This window comes from Homo sapiens, chromosome 3 (assembly GCF_000001405.40).
Source record: "Homo sapiens chromosome 3, GRCh38.p14 Primary Assembly".
Classification (NCBI taxonomy): Eukaryota; Metazoa; Chordata; class Mammalia; order Primates; family Hominidae; genus Homo; species Homo sapiens.
In genome coordinates this window covers 100,902,133-100,922,017 of record NC_000003.12, presented here as the reverse complement: position 1 = coordinate 100,922,017, position 19,885 = coordinate 100,902,133, and the positions used below count along the sequence as shown (strand labels likewise).

At 38.9% G+C, this 19,885-nt stretch overlaps 1 protein-coding gene and 1 pseudogene across 57 annotated transcripts in view, besides 1 other annotated feature; both read left to right on the top strand.

The window, feature by feature from the left end:
- ABI3BP (ABI family member 3 binding protein) overlaps window positions 1-19,885 on the top strand; it is a 244,266-nt gene that overhangs the window by 71,404 nt on the left and 152,977 nt on the right. For all 57 annotated transcript variants that reach the window (XM_006713572.4, NM_001377332.1, XM_047447926.1 and 54 more), the window contains exon 3: window positions 19,332-19,400. In XM_006713572.4, coding sequence (XP_006713635.1) covers window positions 19,332-19,400 — 69 coding nt within the window. The remainder of the gene's footprint in view (window positions 1-19,331; window positions 19,401-19,885) is intronic.
- Window positions 7,399-7,693: a silencer, noted in NCBI's record as "tiled region #14979; K562 Repressive non-DNase unmatched - State 24:Quies". NCBI's record gives its function as "represses a minimal TATA promoter and a strong SV40 promoter by Sharpr-MPRA in K562 cells {active_cell/tissue: K562}" and the evidence as "EXISTENCE:reporter gene assay evidence [ECO:0000049][PMID:27701403]".
- Window positions 9,814-11,237, top strand: ABRAXAS1P1 (ABRAXAS1 pseudogene 1; annotated as a pseudogene).

The window sequence follows — 19,885 nt, the reverse complement described above, 5'->3', positions numbered from 1 at the left end:
ACACAGTGAATTACCCTCAGTTGCGAAGCAAATATTAAGTACAGCCTTGTCTGACACATGTCATTTGTTTAATGATATGTTTACCATCATTTTTCATTTTACCATTGAATTGAGAAGCTGTTGATTATTCAGAAATATTCAAGCTAACCTTTAGTGACCTGTGGACCAGGACTTCCACTAAATAATCATTTATAACCATTTTTACATTTAATACCTATCTATTATCTTTCTATTTATTAAGTATTGACAGAGATGTTTTCAAGTCACTTACTGCTTTTCCATGCAAAAGTAAATAAAACCTTCCTTTTGCCATTTTGGAAATTAATATTCATATGAAATTTCTGTAAAAATTTAAGATTGTACTAGAGGGGCAGTAGGAAAAACAGTATTTTCCCCAGTGGCTATTAATAAATATTAATTGCCTCCAGAGCCCTGCGATGACGTGATAAAACATGATTCACATTTCATAGATCCTCTAAGTTCCTATGTCTTTTTTTTTTTTACTCACATCATGAATGTTCTCACTCCTGGTTAACATTTTAAGTTTCTGCTTCTTTCTTTTATGGTCAGCTGCTAGTAATTTTGCTAATGTCTCATTAGCTGAGAACTTTCTCAGCGTTGACCTTTAAAGACTCATACTTAATGATGTTCTGTTGACATCCGAAAACACTTTAATCAGTGTCACCTGCAGAGGAAGACCTACAGCCACAGTTATGTGGTGCACGTTGAAGAATTGCTTTAGTATCCTTACTGCAGAAAAGGCTTAAGTTTAAAAATATGTGTTCACTATGACAAATTCTGATTGAAGAGTTTGTCTTCCAACCAGGTGTTAGGACTCCAATGGGGTGCAAATGTTTTAATTCTCGTGTTCTCACAGCTGCTAACCCTCACACTCATTTCTCTAAGGGAGTGCATTTCTCACACTCAGCACAGGCCTCTCAGTCACTATCTTGCCTATAACTCCTTCAAGTGATGCCAGCTCTAGTGAGGAAAAGGATGCAGTGCCAATGCACTGGAAATGCTCTAAGCTGAAAAAAGTCCTGGACAAGGATGCTAAAATCTGTGTTCTAGGAAAGATCAGTCTTCACTTGAGAGGCAGCATGATGTGAGGAAAGAATACCTGTTTACTTTTGAGTCAGACAGACCTGGGTTCAAATTCAACACGACTTATTGTGGAATAGTTGTGGGTAAGTAGTTTAAATTATCTGAATTATATTTTTCTCATTTATAAAATAGAGAATAATCTTTCAGAAGCATTGTAAAGACTATGGCTGAATCATATAAAGAAGCTAATATAGGCTGGGTGTGGTGGCTCATGCCTGTAATCCCAGCACTTTGAGATGCCGAGGCAGGTGGATCACGAGGTCAGGAGTTCAAGACCAGCCTGTCCAAGATAGTAAAACCCTGTCATTACTAAAAATGCAAAAATTAGCCGGGCATGGGGGCGGGTGCCTGTAATCCCAGCTACTCAGGAAGCTGAGGCAGAGAATTGCTTGAACCTGGGAGGGGGAGGTTGCAGTGAGCCAAGATCACGCCAATGCACTCCAGCCTGGGCGTCAGAGCAAGACTCCATCTTAAAAAAATAAAAAATTTAAAAAAAAGAAGCTAATATAGACTCTAGCACAGAGTAGGCATGTTTTATAAATTTTGTCAGTTGCTGTTATAACAAGCAGAGTGGCCTTGGAAAATTTACCTAACACTTCTGAGCTTTGTCTCAATTGCTAATAACTATTGGGTTAACTTTCCACTAAAGTTCTGGCCAGCTCTAAGAGGTTAGTGCCTAGGTTGAAAAAGCCTGGTCTAAGTGGCAGTTTTGTGGTTTTTGTTTTATATTTGTGGGTGCGGAGATAGTGTTGGTAAAATTGTAGAGGATAGATTGTTTTAGCAGAGCTGTTAGTCACTGAAAGGCAGCCATGCCCATCTATCATACCCAAGTATGTTTCTCGTCAGGGTCAACTCTCAAAACAACATTAAAAAACAAAATAAGCAAAATCTAAGATGATGGCACAGTAGCTGATGCATACACACAGCTCTCTCCCAAAGTCATTATTATCTCTTAATTATCAAGGGTATCCTGTGTCAAAGCTGACTGTTTCGTGCCTTTGGTGAAGAGAGTCATCAGGTGCCTCTTAGAATTCCTTAGCTGTGGCCTCCAAAGAAAAATATGGTGACTCCCTCAAAAATATATACCTGGAAAAGTCTGTCATCTCTAGATCTCACTTTTTCAATCGCTTATTCAAATAAAGCAATTTTTAGCAAGAAGATAGCGAGAATTTTGACCTGTCCTACTAAACAGATAAAAATAAGTGCATGACGCTTTAATTTACTTAAATGATGGCAATTCTATCTCAGCGCATTTGGGCTAAAATTCAACCATCAGTTTCTTACTTTGAAGTTTCTCACTTTATTTCACAGTGAAACATTTTCAAAAATTTAAAAGCAAAGTTGATTTACGATTGATCAGATATGAGTCAGTATAAATTGTATGCTTATAAATTTTAATGCAATTTATATTTCTACAGATTATTAGTACCATTTACAAGGTTTACCCTTAATCTTTATATTGGTATAGACGGCAAGAGGAAATGCACAATTTTTCCTATTTTACCATGGCAACCCTTAGAATTTCAGTTGTTCTCTTCTTCTCTATCATAAAAGTGTTTAATAATGCTCTATTTTTATGAAAGTGGGATGAAATATAAAATAATAGAGATTGATACTGTTTATTACACTGAAATATAACTATCATAAGTGATTATGCATTCATTGAAGAAAAACAGAAATAGGGGTTGAAAATAACTGAAGGAACTATATAGGGAATATAAAGAAGATGAAAAAAATAACTTATGAAAAAAAGAAACAGGATAAACCAATAGAAGGAAATGATGTAGTACCAGCCATTGAAGCCAGCTGAGCCCTCTCTTCCTGGCAGAGTCCTTAGAGAGACGGCAAGAGGCTTCAAAGGCAGGGAGCAAGACAGCTGCCAGGGGTGAATATCAGACTCGATACGGATGCAAGATGGCAGTTATGCAGGGATAGGTAGTACTGTTAGTTCTCTTTTACCCAGAAGGAGGTTGAAGCTCCAAGAGTTTTAAACTTCCTAACACTGCTCACCTACTGTATGGCAGGTAAAGGATTTGAAGCTAGGAAGTCTGAGCTCTGAACCACTGTGTTCTACTGCCTCTCAGAACTTAGGGAACTTTATCTGTTCTACAGGACAAAGGTGTTGCTTCTATAATGTCCTGTAAAAAATGGTTAAAAAGTGGGTGGGGAGATGTATTATGGCTATCTCCTCATTAAGGTTTAAGTATGTAAGGCACTCATTTCATCCTCAAAACTTGTTCTCCCCTTCCTCCACCACCACCATCTCTGCTTGTTATGTGCTGCCCATCCATCAAGTCCTACTTTATCTACTGTACACAAGGCCATTTCTGGCCAGGATAGACATTTCAGTCCCTCTCCATGAATATCCTGGAGGCTTACCATTTGCTTTATCATTCTTAAGGTTAATCAATTGCTATTTGTTTTTATTTTTGTGTGTCTTGTCTGCCTCTACACTTCACCCAAGGAGAAAACTCCCAGCAGCTAAGGACCCCAGGAACCTTAGATTTCTTTTTACCCTCAATGTTTTCATTGATTTCAGAAACACAATAAAGGAATAGATGAGTGGACGGGTGGATGGGTGGACGGGTGGACAGGTGGACGGGTGGATGGGTGGATGGGTGGATGGGTGGACGGGTGGATGAATAGGTGGGAAAGAGGAAAAGGAAAGGCCCAAAAAGTCTGAAACAGCTGTGGGTACGATTTAAGATAGATTTTTCTCTTTTAAAATTATTTTCAAAATGTCATCTAATTCTTAGTTATTTCTTTGGAAATAGATTTACCACTTGGGAAGTATTTGGCTTTAAATCTTCAAGATGAGTCCAAAGTTATCATTTTAAAAAAACAGGAATCCCAGAATCATTTGATTTTTTTTTCCTCCAAGGCGCAAAATTTACCAGAACTTCAGCTTCAAAGGGGATTTTTAAAGAAATTCGCCTAATAGGTATCAATTTCTTAATAAATGTACACCATCTCTTAAACAATTCACCATAAGTTTATACCAGAAAGCCATTGTATGATAAGAGATGACCATTTCATCATGTTTTGGTAAAGAAAACATCCCTTCAAAGTCCTGTTTTTTTCTACTGGATTCAACTACAATGTTTTCATGGTCTGCTTGACTTCAAATGATAAACTGTCACCAAGTCTATCTTTTCTTGGAAGTACAATACAAAAATTCACAATATTTTACTATAAAGCACAGTTTTTTCAAATGTAACCCACAATGCACTGAGATCAAAATCTAACTTTTAAAAAGTCATTCTCGATAATATCCAAAAGAGTGTCCCCGAATGGCTAATGGCCCTTTTTGTCATGGGCCAAAAAGATATATGGTCCCAGGTTCATTGCAAAAGTCTTGCTATGGAGAAGGGGTCTTAAGTGGAAAGACAGCTGCCAGTAAAAGGATATTAAAGGGTTATCTGGAATAGATATATAAGATAGCATTTAAACTTTAGAATTTTTTTTTTTTACATTTCAAAACCAAGGAACATGGTCACATCAACTTTCCTGATTATCCATATATTATTTTCCTTTAAATATTTTACATTCCATGGAAATTCAGTGCTCTCTGACACATGTGGGTCATACCAAGTGCTATGCCATGAAAGCCAGCATTAGGTTATACTCTTCTGTATTGTTCCCCAATTGTTTTTGTCGTGTGTGTGTTTCTTCTGTGTCATGTCTCACCAGCAAAATAGTAAGCTCCTGAGGACCAGAGCTGAGTCTCACCTTCCCTGATGGGCTCCACAATCAGGGTCAATATATTCACAGCTGTAATAGCTGACTACCCAGAGTTTGCTAGGGAAGGCTCCCTGCCTAGTTGCCTATAGTAAAAATATCCAGGAGAAAAAATTATTCAACTGGGGTAAAGGGTTGACTCTACCCTATTAGTAAAGTAACTATATACCCTGTTTTATCTGGCATAGAGTCATGGTTGACACCTGCTGTTCTGATATAATTAATTGTGCTCCCTTTCAACAGTACCCTAGTTTAGTTGAAAAATCTATATGCAATCTACATACAGGAGAAAGCCTAGAATTCTTAGCATGGTCCCCAGATGTTTCACAATCTGATCCCAAGGTAATAGCCCAGCCTTTTCTCTGCCACTGGAGATGCTTTGCATCAAGAAAAGGGAGACAAAATCAAGGGTTGGAGGGTTTGCCACAGGTTTGCCACTGCTGTGTTCCATTCTCCAGGCTGGGCACATAGATGGTCAAATGCTGGAGTGGCACTTCTTATCAACCAGTTAGCTGATGATTTAATATTTTTGAGCACTTACAATGTGCTGGGCTAAGGGCTTTATGGAAATGGGTTATTAAATCCTTAGAGCAACCCCATGAAGCAGGTACTATTAGCATTCTCTTTGCCCCACTGAAGACAGTGAGTCCCCAAGAGGTTAAGAAATCTACAAGTAGCAGGCTGACTCCTCAGCCTGTATAGCTGAACACCATGCCAACGTGCTTTTCTCCGTGGCCTATAAGTGTTCCAGTACTTTTGAACTCAATGTTAAAAACTCATCTTGTGTAAATTATTCCTGACTCCCCACTCCTACATGGAAAAGCTGACAAGAACATTTGAAAAGGAAGAAAAACCTTTGCTGATTTGACGGCTTTGACTTTGGATACTATCTGAGAGCTAATGTGACCTGGCTTTATAATTTGAAAGACAAATATCCGAACAAAGTCCTGATAAATAAAAATATCCAGACACACTTCCTGTAGCGATAACATGAACAAAGTGGTGAATTCACTGGAAAAATGTGTGTGTGCGAGTGTACAGTCTCTGCTTCAAAATCAAGCCCTTGCCAAGGCTTAAACCAGTTAACAGACAACACTCTGAACTTCTCTGTGGGGTGCACATATAAAACACGGGCAAGGAAAAAACTACATGCAATAAAGCCAACAATTTTAATGCCTAACAGGTCTGCTAAACTAGGAAAGGATGTGGCAAGTGGGTAAGATAAATAGTTTTTAAACATTTGTGGTATCAGGGAGAGAATCTGCCAGAGCATTCGAGTGAAGCAGGGTTAGTTTGGGACAGTAGCTGAAGGAGATGCTCCCAACTCTATGCCAGGAGCACAGGAAATGAAATGACCTGGAACCCCAGCGTTGTGGTCAGTGTGCAGGCACTGGAAGTGGAAGGGTCAGGGCTGGCTTCAAGATCGGATGACCAGTGCACTTAAAGGACCTTGCATTCTGGGTTTAATGCCCTGCTGTCAGTGTCATGAATTCTTAACTTATCTTTCCGTTTTATTTTGTAAGTGAGGTCCTATCAGACAACAGAGCAGGCGCAGAGTCTTGGAGCCTGGGTTCTTATGCTTGGCCTCCCAGCCCCTCCCCTAGTTTGATTCTCAACTGTCATGTCCTCCTGCCCTGGTGTCCCTGCTGCTTGGCTGCCTTCTACTTCCCATCCCTATTCAGCGACTTCAGCTGCCCTCCACCTCCAGCAGGGACTTGGGTGTGCACACCTCCATAATGACATCTGGCCGGGCATGGCGGCAGCAGTCCTCGCAGTGTCTGGCAGAGCCACTGTGCATTAAGTAGGGCATTTGGTTGGGGCAAGTCTCCCTCTCACCTGCATCAGGTACACAGTATGTCCCAGTGCAGAAATGGCAATCCCTTGGAGGTCTATGAATTGGGATGGCAGACCTGCAGGGAAGGGAGATTGACTTTTCTACCCTGGGGGGTGGGTTGGGGGATAAGAGTAAAGCACTTTGATCTTGATCCTGGAACTGCTGCTGGAGGGAGATAGTAAGTGGAGGGGGAAGAGAGTGGGCTGAGGGTCTGCACCCACCTGTACAGTGCAATATTAAATAGCAAATAAACATTATGATGGGTCAAGACAGAGATGGTGGAAGAAAGTAAAAGTTGAATTTTGTGCCTTCAATGGCACTCTTTTTAGGGTCCTACCTTTTGATTTTGCATCCGACCCTGCAAATTATGTAGTCAGCCGTGGGTGAAATGCATGCTTTTAATAGCATTGCCTCCCCAACTCTCACAGAATGAGAGTAAAACTGAGAAAAACTCCAATAATGTCTTCCTCAAAGGACTGTCTTTAAAATGACCCTCTGTTTAGAAAAAGTGTGTCTTTTCTTCCAGACAACCTTAGAAACCTGTAAATGGTGATCAATTATGGCAGAGCCATTGGGAGTACACATTACTGGAAGGAGATGCCCTCTTTCCCCCCTTTAACGTTGTCTTCCTCCCATACCCCTTTCCCCACATCCTCTCTTCCAATCAATGCTGCACTCCCATTTCATATGTAGAGGCTCCACTCACTCTCTATAGCGGGCCAATGAGGGGCTGCTTCTCACTGCTGTTATTCAATTCCAAACAATTCTGAGCAACTTCTCTTGTGACATCCGCACCAACATGAGCTGTGAGCTCCCTTCAGAACAGGCCTGTGAACATTCTGGAATCCCAGCAGTGGCTGCTGTTCCTAGTCATTTTTGCATTGTTGTTCTGTGGTACGGCTGGCTGCACTTTTGTGAGTAGTTTAACCTTTAGTATGAGCTCAGCCTGCCAGGGGCCTGTTCCGCAGACTGCATCTTAAAGACTGAGATAAGCCAGAATTCTCCAAGCCATGGGGCATAACAGAGTGTTCTGTCAAACTGGGTGTGGGTTCATTATTCAACAGATCTTGTAATGTTTAAAGGAAATAATTACTGAATAGTGTAGGATTTGCTTTAAAATTTGCTCTCCAGTTATTTTTCAGGCAAAGAAGGAAAAGTTTTTTTTTTCCACATGAAAACATACTTTTTCTGAGGAAAAAAACAACAGTCCTACAAATAGGACTTATTAAAGACTAATTGTTTGATTACTTTTCAAAAAATACTTGTTTGTGCTGATTGTGCTATTTCCCAACCCTCTAATTATTTTTTTTCCTTTCTGCCTGCAAAGCCTCGGGCTTCATTCATCTTTCTTCTAGCCCCAGGCATTAAAGGGGTAGAAGAGCAGATTCATTAATTCTTTCAGAACATGTTTATTGAGCAATTACTATGTTTCCATGTTTAGAGGTACATGAATAAACAGCATGAACTGAAAGCCTGGCCCATGTCCAGAGTAATCCTCAGCCTCTTATAGCTTTCTTCAGGGGCTTAGGAATACTCTAAAAGGTGGAGGACTTATATTACTTTGTGATGCTCCATAATTCTATAGACATTCTTTTTTATGTTTAAGGGCAATGTGCTAGTAATCTACTGAGTGATGTATTAAAAATTAGCATTGTATATTAGTCAATTATATTGTATGTATTAACATAGTAAAGTTGACATTACTTATGCTACTTATGCTACTCTATTCTTATGCTACTCTATTCTACTTGAGCTTCAAGCTACCATGAAATTTTGCAAAGCTACAACTTAGCACATGCCCAAGCAGACAGCAGGATTTCCCCAATTTTCTAGAAAAATAACCATCAGTGTTTTTCCAGAAGTGACGCCATCCTTCCTGAAAGAATGTTAGTGATGTTCTTGAGTTGGTCCAGACTTTCAGTTGCTGCTGTTCTGGCCTTTTCATATGTAATTACTTCAGGGTCACTTAATTATCATGGATGGGCAGGTTTTCTGTAGTCGTTATTGATTCTGTCCTGTGGAGTGATGGCATCAACAATATTGGAGCCTGTCTTTTTTCAGCAATGGTCTTCAGGGTGGATGTGGACTACAGTTGAGTTATGAATCATTTTATACCCCATTGCTGAAACCAGTTTGCTGTTGTGGTGTAAATTTGGTTTTATTAGTCAGTTCTTTGTCACCGGAATAGGACAATGGGTGGGGTGGGTGGAGTGCAAAGTTGGTCCCCCTGTTGAAACTTAGAACTACTGGTAAGTAGCCTTTCAATAAGTGAGGAGACAACAGCATTCTACTCTTTTTACATTCCAGCTCCCCACAGGCCTGCCCGCCTCTGCCTAGACTGACTTCTTCAGTGGGGTTCCCCTCTCCCTTCTCCCCTTCATCTACCAATAGGCCACAGGGGACCCATCTACAGCAGAGGCAAAGGCAGCTGATAGCTACAGAGTCACAGAGCCCAGGGCGCTGGTGAGCTGTTTATATACCTGTTCCATGGCCACACTTAGGAGGTCCGTTTTTTGAGAACCAACTAGTGGGTGAGTGGAACTCCCTGCTGGAGCTTAAAGACAGCAATATTTCTCAAGGGTGTTTTTCAGGTATACGTTACTCAGGCTTAGTGTTGATGAAATGCGGTACAGGAGCTGTGGCCAAATGTCAAGAGCTAGAGGATGCTTAAATTTAGATTATACCCGCTCAGGTCTGAATATAGCTAAATGTGGCTTGTGAGCACTTACAGATGCAAATCAGAATCGACAATATTTCTGTTATGGAGATTTCCATGAATATAGTTTTTTTTTAATTCTGTGGGTGATTTTATTCTTGTTAGGGTCTCATGATGTGCCACACTGGCTTCTAATAAAAATAATTACCTTATTTCATCAAATTCTAAAGCATTTTCTACTGCAAATCAGTCTATTTTATATAAAACTAAGAAACAAGTTGCTAATTAATGGTACTGCTCTTGTATCCCTTGAGGTTTTTGTTTTATACTTATGGAAAGAGCTTCCTTTGACTCATTGATGCATACATTTTATGTTGTCTGTTTTTTTTTTTTTTTTTTTTTTTTTTTTACAAAAGAGAGGATTTCCTTTTCTATAAACTGTTTTAGACGCGTTTTAGATTAATGAAGTTGTGAAGTTAGGTCTCCTGAAGCCTGAGCCGACGGCAGCACGAAGGGTAAGAGCAGGTGTTCTTGGGCTTTGTGTTGACCAGCTTGCCTTACACAACCCCAGCACTGTCTGGGACACGGAAGGTGTTCTTCTTAAGGAAGTAAAAGATGAAGGCAAGAATAGCATTACTGATTCCCAAATGGATGATGTTGAAGTTGTTTATACAATTGACATTCAGAAATATATTCCATGCTTTTTTTAGCTTTTATAATTCCTCAAGTGAAGTAAATGAGCAAGCACTGAAGAAAATATTCTCCAATGTCAAAAAGAATGTGATAGGTTGGTACAAATTCTGTCGTCATTCAGATCAGATCATGACGTTTAGAGAGAGGCTGCTTCACAAAAACTTGCAGGAGCATTTTTCAAACCAAGAACTTATTTTTCTGCTATTAACACCAAGTATAATAACAGAAAGCTACGCTACTCATCGACTGAAACATGCCTTGAAACCTCAAAGAGGACTTTTTCACAGGGTACCTTTAGTGGTTGCCAATCTGGATATTTCTGAACAACTAGGTTATAAAACTGTATCAGGTTCCTCTACATCCACTGGTTTTAGCCAAGCAGTAAAAACACACAGCTCTAAATTTTTTGAAGAAGATGGATCAGTAAAGGAGGTACATAAGATAAAATATGTAATGCTTCATTACAAGAGGAATTAAGGAGTATATGCAAAAAAAAGTGAAAAACAATGAACAAGCAATAAATAAACTAGTAAAGGATATAAACAGATTAAAACAAGAAATTGGAAAAAAGGAGATGAGCATAGATTCAGGCAGCCTGAGAGAAGAATATCTAAAAAGACCCTCAGGGGAACATTTTTCCTGGTCAAGCATTATGGACCTTTTATCCAGATTCTGAATTTCTTCATTCGTGTGTTGTGTCTTTAAAAAACAGACATGTTTCTAAAAGCTGTAACAACAACCTCCACCTCGATGTAGTAGCCAAACTGACCTTAATGGTAGAACACACTGACATTCCTGAAGCTAGTCCAGCTAGTAGACCACAAATGATTAAGCATAAAGCCTTAGACTTAGATGACAGATGACAATTCAAGAAATCACAGCAGTTAGAGACATAAGACAAACCATGTAAAACAGATACTGATAGTAGTAACCAAGAAAAAGCATCTACAATGAGCAGCCCAGAAATAGATGAAGAGTTTGAGAAAATGAAGGGATCTAGTGAATATCCAGTCTCCTACATCTTGATCCTTTTAACCTAAAAGGAGATTTTTTTTTCATTTGGCGGATGGGTAAAGCCCAAACATTTCTATTCTATTGTTTTTACTATGTTGAGCTACTTGCACTAATACAGATAAATTCATTTGTTTTTACTATATTCCCCTGTTTGCAGTAATCCACAGATAAGTCTTAGCATGTTTAATTTGTAAAGTATGTTTTCAAACATCAGATGCTTTTATTTCAAAATCTTTTTTCACATTTCACTAAGTTGTTGAGGGAAAGCCTTACACTGACACATTCTTTATAACTGGAAAAGTGAGGCCGGGCACAGTGGCTCACACCTGTAATTCCAGCACTTAGGGAGGACAAGGCAGGAGAATTTATTGAGGCCAGGAGTTAGAGACCAACCTGGGCAGCATAGTGAGACCCATCTCTATTTTTTTTTTAAAAAAAAAGGAAAAGCAAGAATAGGAAAGAAATAGAATTTATTTTCACAATGTAGAAAGAAATTTGTATGAAAATTTACTTTTTATCGAAGTCATTAAAATTCTCCTAAACTGATAATTTTTTTTTTACCTTTTTTAAATTATACTTTCAGTTCTGGGGTACATGTGCAGAATATGCAGGTTTGTTACATAGGTATACAAGTGCCATGGTGGTTTGCTGCATTCATCAACCCATCATCTACATTAGGTATTTTTCCTAATGTCATCCCTCCTCCTGCCCCCGACTTCCCAACAGGCCTCAGTGTGTGATGTTCCCCTCCCTGTGTCCATGTGTTCTCATTGTTCACCTCCCACTAATGAGTGAGAACATGTGGCGTTTGGTTTTCTGTTCCTGTGTTAGTTTGTTGAGAATGATGGTTTCCAGCTTCATCCATGTCCCCGCAAAGGACATGAACTCATCCTTTTTTATGGCTGCATAGTGTATATGTGCCACATTTTCTTTATCCACTCTATCATTGATGGGCATTTGGGTTGCTTCCAAGTCTTTGCTATTGTGAACAGTGCTGCAATAAACATACATGTGCATGTGTCTTTATAGTAGAATGATTTATAATTCTTTTGGGCATATACCCAGTAAAGGGATTGCTGGGTCAAATGGTATTTCTAGTTCTAGATCCTTGAGGAATTGCCACACTGTCTTCCACAGTGGTTGAACTAATTTACACTCCCACCAACAGTGTAAAAGTGTTCCTATTTCTCCACATCCTCTCAGCATCTGTTGTTTCCTGACTTTTTAATGATTGGCGTTCTACCTGGAATGAGATGGTATCTGATTGTGGTTTTGATTTGCATTTCTCTAATGACCAGTGATGATAAGCATTTTTTCATATGTTTGTTGGCTGCATAAATGTCTTCTTTTGAGAAGTGTCTGTTCATGTCCTTCGCCCACTTTTTGATGGGGATGTTTGTTTTTTTTTTCTTGTAAATTTGTTTAAGTTCTTTGTAGATTCTGGATATTAACCCTTTGTCAGATGGATAGATCACAAAAACTTTCTCCCATTCTGTAGGTGCCTGTTCACTCTGATGGTAGTTTCTTTTGCTGTGCAGAAGAAGCTCTTTAGTTTAATCAGATCCCATTTGACTATTTTGGCTTTTTTTTTTTGCCATTGCTTTTGGTGTTTTAGTCATGAAGTCTTTGCCCATGCCTATGTCCTGAATGGTATTGCCTCGGTTTTCTTCTAGGGTTTTTATGGTTTTGGGTCTTACGTTTCAGTCTTTAATCCATCTTGAGTTAATTTTTGTATAAGGTGTAAGGAAGGGATGCAGTTTCAGCTTTCTGCATATGGCTAGCCAGTTTTCCCAACACCATTTGTTAAGTAGTGAATCCTTTCTCCATTTGCTTGTTTTTGTCAGGTTTGTCAAACATCAGATGGTTGTAGATGCGTGCTGTTATTTCTGAGGCCTCTGTTCTGTTTCATTGGTCTATGTATCTGTTTTGGTACCAGTACCATGCTGTTTTGGTTAATGTAGCCTTGTGGTATAGTTTGAAGTCAGGTAGTGTGATGCCTCCAGTTTTGTTATTTTTGCTTAGGATTGTCTTGGCTATGCAGGCTCTTTTTTGATTCCATATGAAATTGAAAGTAGTTTTTTCCAATTCCGTGAAGAAAGTCAATGGTAGTTTGATCAGGATGGCATTGAACCTATAAATTACTTTGAGCAGTATGGCCATTTTCACAATATTGATTCTTCCTATCCATGAGCATGGAATGTTTTTCCATTTGTTTGTGTCCTCTCCTATTTCCTTGAGCAGTGGTTTGTAGTTCTCCTTGAAGAGGTCCTTCACATCCCTTGTAAGTTTGATTCCTAGGTATTTTATTCTCTTTGTAGCAATTGTGAATGGGAGTTCACTCATGATTTGGCTCTCTGTTTGTCTGTTATTGGTGTATAAGAACGCTTGTGATTTTTGCACATTGATTTTGTATCCTGAGACTTTGCTGAAGTTGCTTATCAGCTTAAGGAGATTTTGGGCTGAGATTATGGGGTTTGTAGTTCTTCTTGAAGAAGCCCTTCACATCCCTTGTAAGTTGGATTCCTAGGTATTTTATTCTCTTTGTAGCAGTTGTGAATGGGAGTTCACTCATTATTTGGCTTGCTGTTTGTCTGTTATTGGTGTATAGGAATAATGGGAAATTCAACTCAGTTATCAACAGTCCCGTTGTTTTTTTACCCAGTATCATTGTTGGTGCCAGCAAGGGTCTGGCATGTTTAGTAAAGGAGGATCATACATTTGATTTAGATGTTTTAAGATATATTTTATAAGAAAGTATTCCACTGAATTCTTATTTATTCAGAGTTAGCATTTCTTTCAAATGACTTTTCAGCACCTGTGGAAATAGGCTTACTTTTTTTTCTTTTTTCTTTTTTTTTTTTTTAGACAGAGTCTTTGCTCTGTCACCCAGGCTGCAGTGCAGTGGCACGATCTCGGCTCACTGCAACTTCTGCCTCCCAGGTTCACACCATTCTCCTGCCTCAGCCTCCCGAGTAGTTGGGACAACAGGCACCCACCACCACGCCCGGCTAATTTTTTGTATTTTTTAGTAGAGATGGGGTTTCACTGTGTTAGCCAGGATGGTCTCGATCTCCTGACCTCATGATCTGCCCGCCTAGGCCTCCCAAAGTGCTGGGATTACAGGCGTGAGCTACCACTCCCGGCCTTTTCTTTCCCTTTATGTTACATTCCTGGGATAAACTGTATGTGGTAATAATTTATTATTGTATTATGTGCTGTCAGATCCAGATTCTGCCTGTCAGTATATTTTTAGGGTTTTTTTGCATCGATATTTATGAATGAGTTTGGTTTGTAATGTTTATTGTGAAATGCTTGCATTTTGGAACTTGTGATGCTTGCTGTAAAGATTTTTTGAACATTTTCCTCTCTTGTAATATGTCCTTAGACTTTGTAGAACACAAACTCTGCTTTCTAGAAATCACCATTGTTACTAATACTTAATTCATACTTCTTGTGTTGACATTGTTACAGCTTTTATTCCCCCCCCAAAACAAGGTCTCACTGTCACCCAGGCTGAAGTACAGTGGTGCAATCTCAGCTCACTGCAACCTGTGCCTCATGGGCTCAAGCAATCTTCCCACCTCAGCCTCCTGAGTAGCTGGGACTACAGGTGCCCATCACAATGCATGGATAATTTTTGTCTTTTTTGTAGAGATGGGGTTTCACTGTGTTGCCCAGGCTAGTCTCAAACTCCTGAGCTCAAGTGATCTCCCTACCTTGGCCTCCCAAAGTGCTGGGATTACAGGCTGAGCCACCATGCCTGGCCTTTGTTACAACTTTAATTACCTTTAAGAACCTTTTGAGACTAGGTATGATTTTTCCTACTTTGCAGGAAACTGAGGTACACAGAGGTTAAGTACTTTGACTTGTACTAGCATGTAGTTGCATAGGATTTAATCTGTTTCCAGAGTCTGTGCTCTTATGTCCAGAAAATTAGTTTAACAAAAAAATTGTTAAACATAGCAAGGGCCTTTTTCAGGCCCCCTTACCTAATTTCTTTTAGGATTATCTTGGTTTATTTCATGCTTCTTTTGTGGACACTTTAATAGCAGAAACTTTGCATGCAGAACTAAGCTTCCCTGTGACAATATTCTGAAGCAGTGAGGCTTGCAATGCAGGCGTCCTCTAATGGGAGCAGACCCAAAATGTGAAAATTGGGATTTATCAAACTGCAATTATAAGAGTATTACTGAAAAATCCAGTAATTAACAAAATATTTCAACAGTAGATTTCCTTAAGCAGTAAACTGTCCCTGTCCTCCACAATAGGGCATTCAAAATATTAAGCAAATTAGATTTAATTAGTCTGCAACATTGTATAGAATTAACTATTAGGAATGGAAACTTTGTTAAGGTAACTGCATTCTATGCAACTTTTCCTAAATTGACATTTTAGGTATATATCTTTCTAAATGAAGTAACATATATTGGCAGAATTTCAGTCTACAATGTATATATTTCCAGGCTACTATAAATCCACAAAGAATTTATTGTACAGAACAGAAATAGAAATCCTACTCTTGAGTCTTATTTTTCCACACCTGTGTCCCCAATAGAGCACAAATACTCCCAAAATATGTGTATGTTGGAAATATTTAATGAGCAGTAAGAGCCAACACATGCACCCAGGTAATGACATTTGTTCCAATTTGTAATTGGCTGTAACAGCCTATGCTTTATGCAAAATAACTGTGATCATAACAAAAGGTATTTTTAAATTGCTCATATAACCATATGTCTTGGATCATGGTACTATCTTTGGCTTCTGTATATGTTATTTTTCTAGTGTTTCGGGTCTTTCTTTAAAAACCTCTAGGCATTAGGCATAATTAATCCATATGAAGGAAGAATCTAAAAGGTTAACTCTAAGAGACTCTGCTAGAGTGAGAACAATTTAGGAAAACTAGGGGTTTTGTTTTCTAAAAGTGAATTCCTGAGATTTATTAAAAGAGTATTTTGTAGACTTGATTAAGATAGTTACATAACTTGCAGGGCCAAGAACAAAATGAAAATGCAGGTCCCCTGGTTCAAAAACATGGAAAAAAAATGTTGTTGAAGATACTAAAATATAAAGCTTTTTCCTTTTTGTGGTTTCTCCTTTTGTCATGATTTTATTTATTTATTTTATTTACTATTTGATGTCTTAGTAAAGAAAAAATTTAAAATTATTAGCATGAAGTTTACTTTATATCTTTATATTGTTCAATCCCAGGTTTAAATGCAAACGTAAGGGCCTTTAATTCCTAAGTGAAATTACTGAAATTGCACAATTTGTATTTTACAGTTTATACATATATGCATATGCATTTTGTTCCTACCAGAATAGTGGAAATGCTGCACAAAACTAATTCAGCTGTTTATTTCACTTCTTAATATGTGCACATTCTACCAACACTCTTCTTTCAACTCATTTCTGAATGAGGAAGAGTTGGAAAAAAAAAAAGAACTAAGAGTGCCCTTATCTTTCCCTTTTTTCCTTTATCATTTTCAGCATAAGTGGTTGGCTAATACATGAGTAAGAAAGGATATGATAGGGTTTCTTGGTCATTCGTATTTCTTTTTTTTATTATTATACTTTAAGTTTTAGGGTACCTGTGCACAACATGCAGGTTAGTTACATATGTATACATGTGCAATGTTGGTGTGCTGCACCCAGTAACTCGTCATTTAGCATTAGGTATATCTCCGAATGCTATCCTTCCCCCATACCCCACCCCAACAACAGGCCCCGGTGTGTGATGTTCCCCTTCCTGTGTGCATGTGTTCTCATTGTTCAATTCCCACCTATGAGTGAGAACATGCGGTGTTTGGTTTTTTGTCCTTGCGATAGTTTGCTGAGAATGATGGTTTCCAGCTTCATCCATGTCCCTACAAAGGACATGAACTCATCATTTTTTATGGCTGCATAGTATTCCATGGTGTATATGTGCTACATTTTCTTAATCCAGTCTATCATTGTTGGACATTTGGGTTGGTGCCAAGTCTTTGCTATTGTGAATAGTGCCGCAATAAACATACATGTGCATGTGTCTTTATAGCAGCATGATTTATAATCCTTTGGGTATATACCCAGTAATGGGATGGCTGGATCAAATGGTATTTCTAGTTCTAGATCCCTGAGGAATCACCAGACTGACTTCCATAATGGTTGAACTAGTTTACAGTCCCACCAACAGTGTAAAAGTGTTCCTATTTCTCCACATCCTCTCCAGCACCTGTTGTTTCCTGACTTTTTAATGATTGCCATTGTAACTGGTGTGAGATGGTATCTCATTGTGGTTTTGATTTGCATTTCTCTGATGGCCAGCGATGATATTCATATTTCTTAAAGTGCCATTGCCTTTTTTCTGCATCTAAAGCAAGTTCTGGTTCACATGGAAAGTACGGTCTCTCACAGCTCTGTGTGTCCCCCTCCTTACCCTTTTATTGAATGGTAAATGTGACATACTTACCTTGTTCTACCTTTGAGTCTTGCTGAACTCCCACACATCATGGTTCCTTTGGAATTATATGATAATGCATTCCTCCAATGCCATAAATGAGTGGGGGAGGCAAGAACATGCTGACATGCTTATTGCTTCTGTTTCCCCCACTCACATGCATGCTCTATTGTCCCATCAGACTTCCCTTGCAAAACACAAGTTCAAAGATAAAAGTGTTAAGAATTTCAAGATGGTGACAGCAGGACCTTAAACCAAGCATAGGGCTTTTCTAAGCATGGGGCCCCATGTGACTGTATATGCCACATGCCCATGAAGTCAACCCTGCCCCAGTTATCTCATCTACAAATTGAGGTGATAATAGTAGTGCCAGGTAGGATTGCCATGAGGGAGTAATGAAGTTATGAATATAAGGTTCTCAATATAGTATCCAGCACATAGAAAGCGTTCAGTACATGGTAGTTTATTGCTCTATATCTCAAAGAAAATCAGGAAATGGTTATTGTATTCCTACTAGGAAACTTGTTGATTTGATTTGGGTCCAGCATTCCTTGTACGAGCCTCACTAAGCAAGATGTGCTTTCAAACACACGAGACTGGAACAGAATGAATGCTCCTTTATCTGTGTGGTGGGCAGGAGGCAACTGTACAATGATGAGGCAAAGCTCTGAGGTGAGTTCATCAGGCTGCCTAAGTTACTTTATTCGGCGGTAATTACTGCAGCAGGTTATAGCCAATAGTGCTGTGTAAGATGTCCAGAAAAAGACAAAGGCACAAGTTACTAAGAGAAGTTGAGTTGCCAGGTTGTCCCCATCTGAAAAGAGGTCAGCTCTGCAAAGCCTTGGGCAAGAAGGCCTCTGCTCCAGACTCATGGAGGGGAGACATTTGAACCCAGAATGAAAACAAAACAAAGATATGAAGTCTGCCTGAGTAAGTAGCTGTGAATTCTGGCTGACTACAGCATCCAAATGATATTTCTTATAGAACGAGTTTCAGAGTTTAAAGTTCTGGAGGAACATTGTAAAGAATACTCATCAATCCATTAATCCAGTAGAGTTGCTTATAAAATGCTATTTCATATGCCCAAAATATATTTGGTTTATTTACATATGTGTAACCAGCCATTCATCTTGCAGACATCAATATTTAAAAAATTATTTGATAAATTATTAGCTCCTTATTGAGTTAGCATATGCTGATTGATTTAATATAATTTTATTTAAAACTTAAATATCCTGAGATTCCCTATGTACATTTCATTGAAATATATTTAAAATGAAAATTATACCAACTTATAAATTGTGACTGTTTAGAAATTGTTCATTAAAAATGACTAGCTATGAAAACAGGCTGAGAAATTACATAAACAGGATACAAATTAGGAAGGGCGTTATAAATATTCCTGTTCCCATGAAAGGGAGTGATTTTAGCTCATACAGGTGAGGCCCACGGTGTCTTGTGCAAGTAGAATTTTTCCTTCCCTGGAGCATCGGGATTGGCTCTCCTTGAGGCATGGGGTAACAGAATGGACATACTCTGATTTTTTAAAATATATATTTGCAGAGAAAAGAACTGATGAAGACAGCGTTTAAAATCTGTGTATAGTATGATTATTTTAAGACTTCTCCCTCACCCTTGCCCATTTGGTTTGGAAAATCTGGATTTAATTTTCATTTTAATGACTTAATAAACTTCTCAGGAAGTGTCAACTTTTCGGATTATTGGGTCCTCTCACTCCCTGGAGCTGCGGTTATGGAGGATGACTCAGGGAATGCTGAATCAGGGTAGGGGTGTGCTGCCTCCAATGCTGGTTCTCAAAGGGTTTTTCTGATAAATAATGTTATTGCTTCCAGATGCAGAGCCGAAATATCTGATAGTTGTGCGACCTGCTCCACCTCCAAGTCAAAAGAAGTCATGTTCAGGTATAGTCCTTTGCATTGAATTCTTTTTCTTTTATGAACTTTGAACCATGACTTTTCATCTCTTTTGGACCCCTGGAGACCAAATGCCTTGAGAAGCTTTAAGAATGTAGAGGAGGTGTCAGCCCTGGGTCCACAGTTTACCCTTTTGGAGAAGTAACACAGCCTGGTGGTAGAGACTGCTTGGGATTTTCTCCTGGTGCCACCACTTGCAAACTGCAGGGAATTACATAAGTTATTGAACCTCTCTACTCCTGGATTCTGCTGCATAATAGGGTTGTCCTTGAGGATTAAATGAGTTAAGGACAGTGCCTGGCCTGTAGTCAGTGCTCATTTGGGGTTAGCTCCTATTAGCCTGTTTCTATTTTACAGTGTGTGAACTCATGCTCACTATTGTGCCTTTCAGATGTTAAGGGCAAAATTTTATGTCTCACCTTTTCTTAAGGAGACTGTTTACATTTTAAAAGGATAATTCATGTATGTGTGTT